The following is a 1,591-nucleotide window of genomic DNA, read 5'->3' as shown; positions in this document are numbered from 1 at the left end:
CGGCCCCTGTAAGGCCATCGGCTCCGCCCCGGACTGGCTCCTTCCGGGCAGGGGCCGCTCACTGACAGGCCCCGCCCACTAGTAGGCCCCGCCCGGAAGGGGGCCCCAGCCTCCGCGCTGCTCGTCTCCCTTCCCTTCCCTAGGAGGCGGGAAACCGAGCGCCGCAGCCGCTCCTTCCCCTTTTTTGGAGCAAGACAGAAACTGGAGTTGGAAAAAAAAAAGAAAAGCTAAGAAACGTGATTGGAATCTGATAACCCAAAATTTGATCCAGGCTCCATCCTTGCGAGACTGTGGACTAAATTTTAAACCTCTATTTCCTCACCTAAGAAGTAGATAGATCGTAATGATTCAAAGTACCTCCCAAAATTCTAGATATGAGATAAAGATAACATGTTATGCACAGTGCATGGTGCTTAATAGGAAAGCAGTAAACGGTAACGGATGTTACTGTTGTTAGTAATCCGTGCTGAAGGTCATTGACATATAATGACCCTGAACCCTGCACAGCTACTGCCCTGCCAGCTCACCTGAGTGGATGGATATTAGAAAGGATTTGTGCAGGAGTTGGAAACCTGGAGTTTCCCGCTGGCCACCACTTCAGTGCAGAAAGCCCCTTCCGAGCGGAATCCCCTCTGCCTGAACATCCATTCTTGGCTTGAGCATTTCCAAAAACAAGAAGCTCACTGCTAAGAGGAAAGAAACCCTTGTCCTCCGGCTCTAGGAAGTCTTCCGTGTTCAGTCTATTGGAAGAGGCTTCCTGTCACCACAGACCACCTCCAAGATTCCTTCCAACTCCTGACTCTAAGATTCCGCTACTTGAACATAGATCTATCATCCCTCATCCATCACAAAACAGCTGCAGAACAGCCCACCACGCCCCAATCCCTGATCTTAGAAGTAGCTGCAGGATTAAGTAGGCTCTACTCCCATTTTACAGAAGAAGACAGGGAGTTACCAAAAGACACACAATTATGCTGCCTAGCTTGAGGCACAACAGAATTCCATTTTGGGAACAGAACTGCCCTTTAGCCGTTTGGGGCAGCCAAGTACATTCTGTCTGTTCCATAATTGGCTAAGCAGAGCCAGAAGCTGGAGCACACCAGAAAGAGTACTGGATTGGGAGTCAGGAGACCGGACTTTTAGTTTCAGCTCTTTGTTATCTAGTTAGGTGACCTCGGATTGAACAGGAAGATCACTAACCAGCTCTGGCACTCATTCAGTGGTGATCACAAATGCTTAACCCATTTCCCGTTTAGAAAAAAACAGCGCAGCTTGCTGCCAGCTCTTATTTCTTAGGGCAAATGGGAAATGGCTTAAGAACTAAGCATGAAATTCAGAAACACTGAATATCGAATCCTCCTCTCTTGAGGGGAGAAAAGGCCCAACTGGCCCAACTCCAAAACATCGGTGCCATTTGCCTGTAGTGTATAAGGCCAGAGGGAGAATATAAAACTCTTTCTGAAAATGAGCCATCTCCTCTAAATCCTGATCATTTTCAGAGCCTTGATACCCGAGGCAAATATCGAGATCTGTGTAGTGCTAAGGGGATCAGAGGACCAGGAAGAAATAGTGGGCCCAGTAGAAAAGCAGC

This window comes from Homo sapiens, chromosome 1 (genome assembly GCF_000001405.40).
Source record: "Homo sapiens chromosome 1, GRCh38.p14 Primary Assembly".
Classification (NCBI taxonomy): domain Eukaryota; kingdom Metazoa; phylum Chordata; class Mammalia; order Primates; family Hominidae; genus Homo; species Homo sapiens.
The sequence above is the reverse complement of the archived record's forward strand: the minus strand, read 5'-3'. Positions refer to the sequence as shown.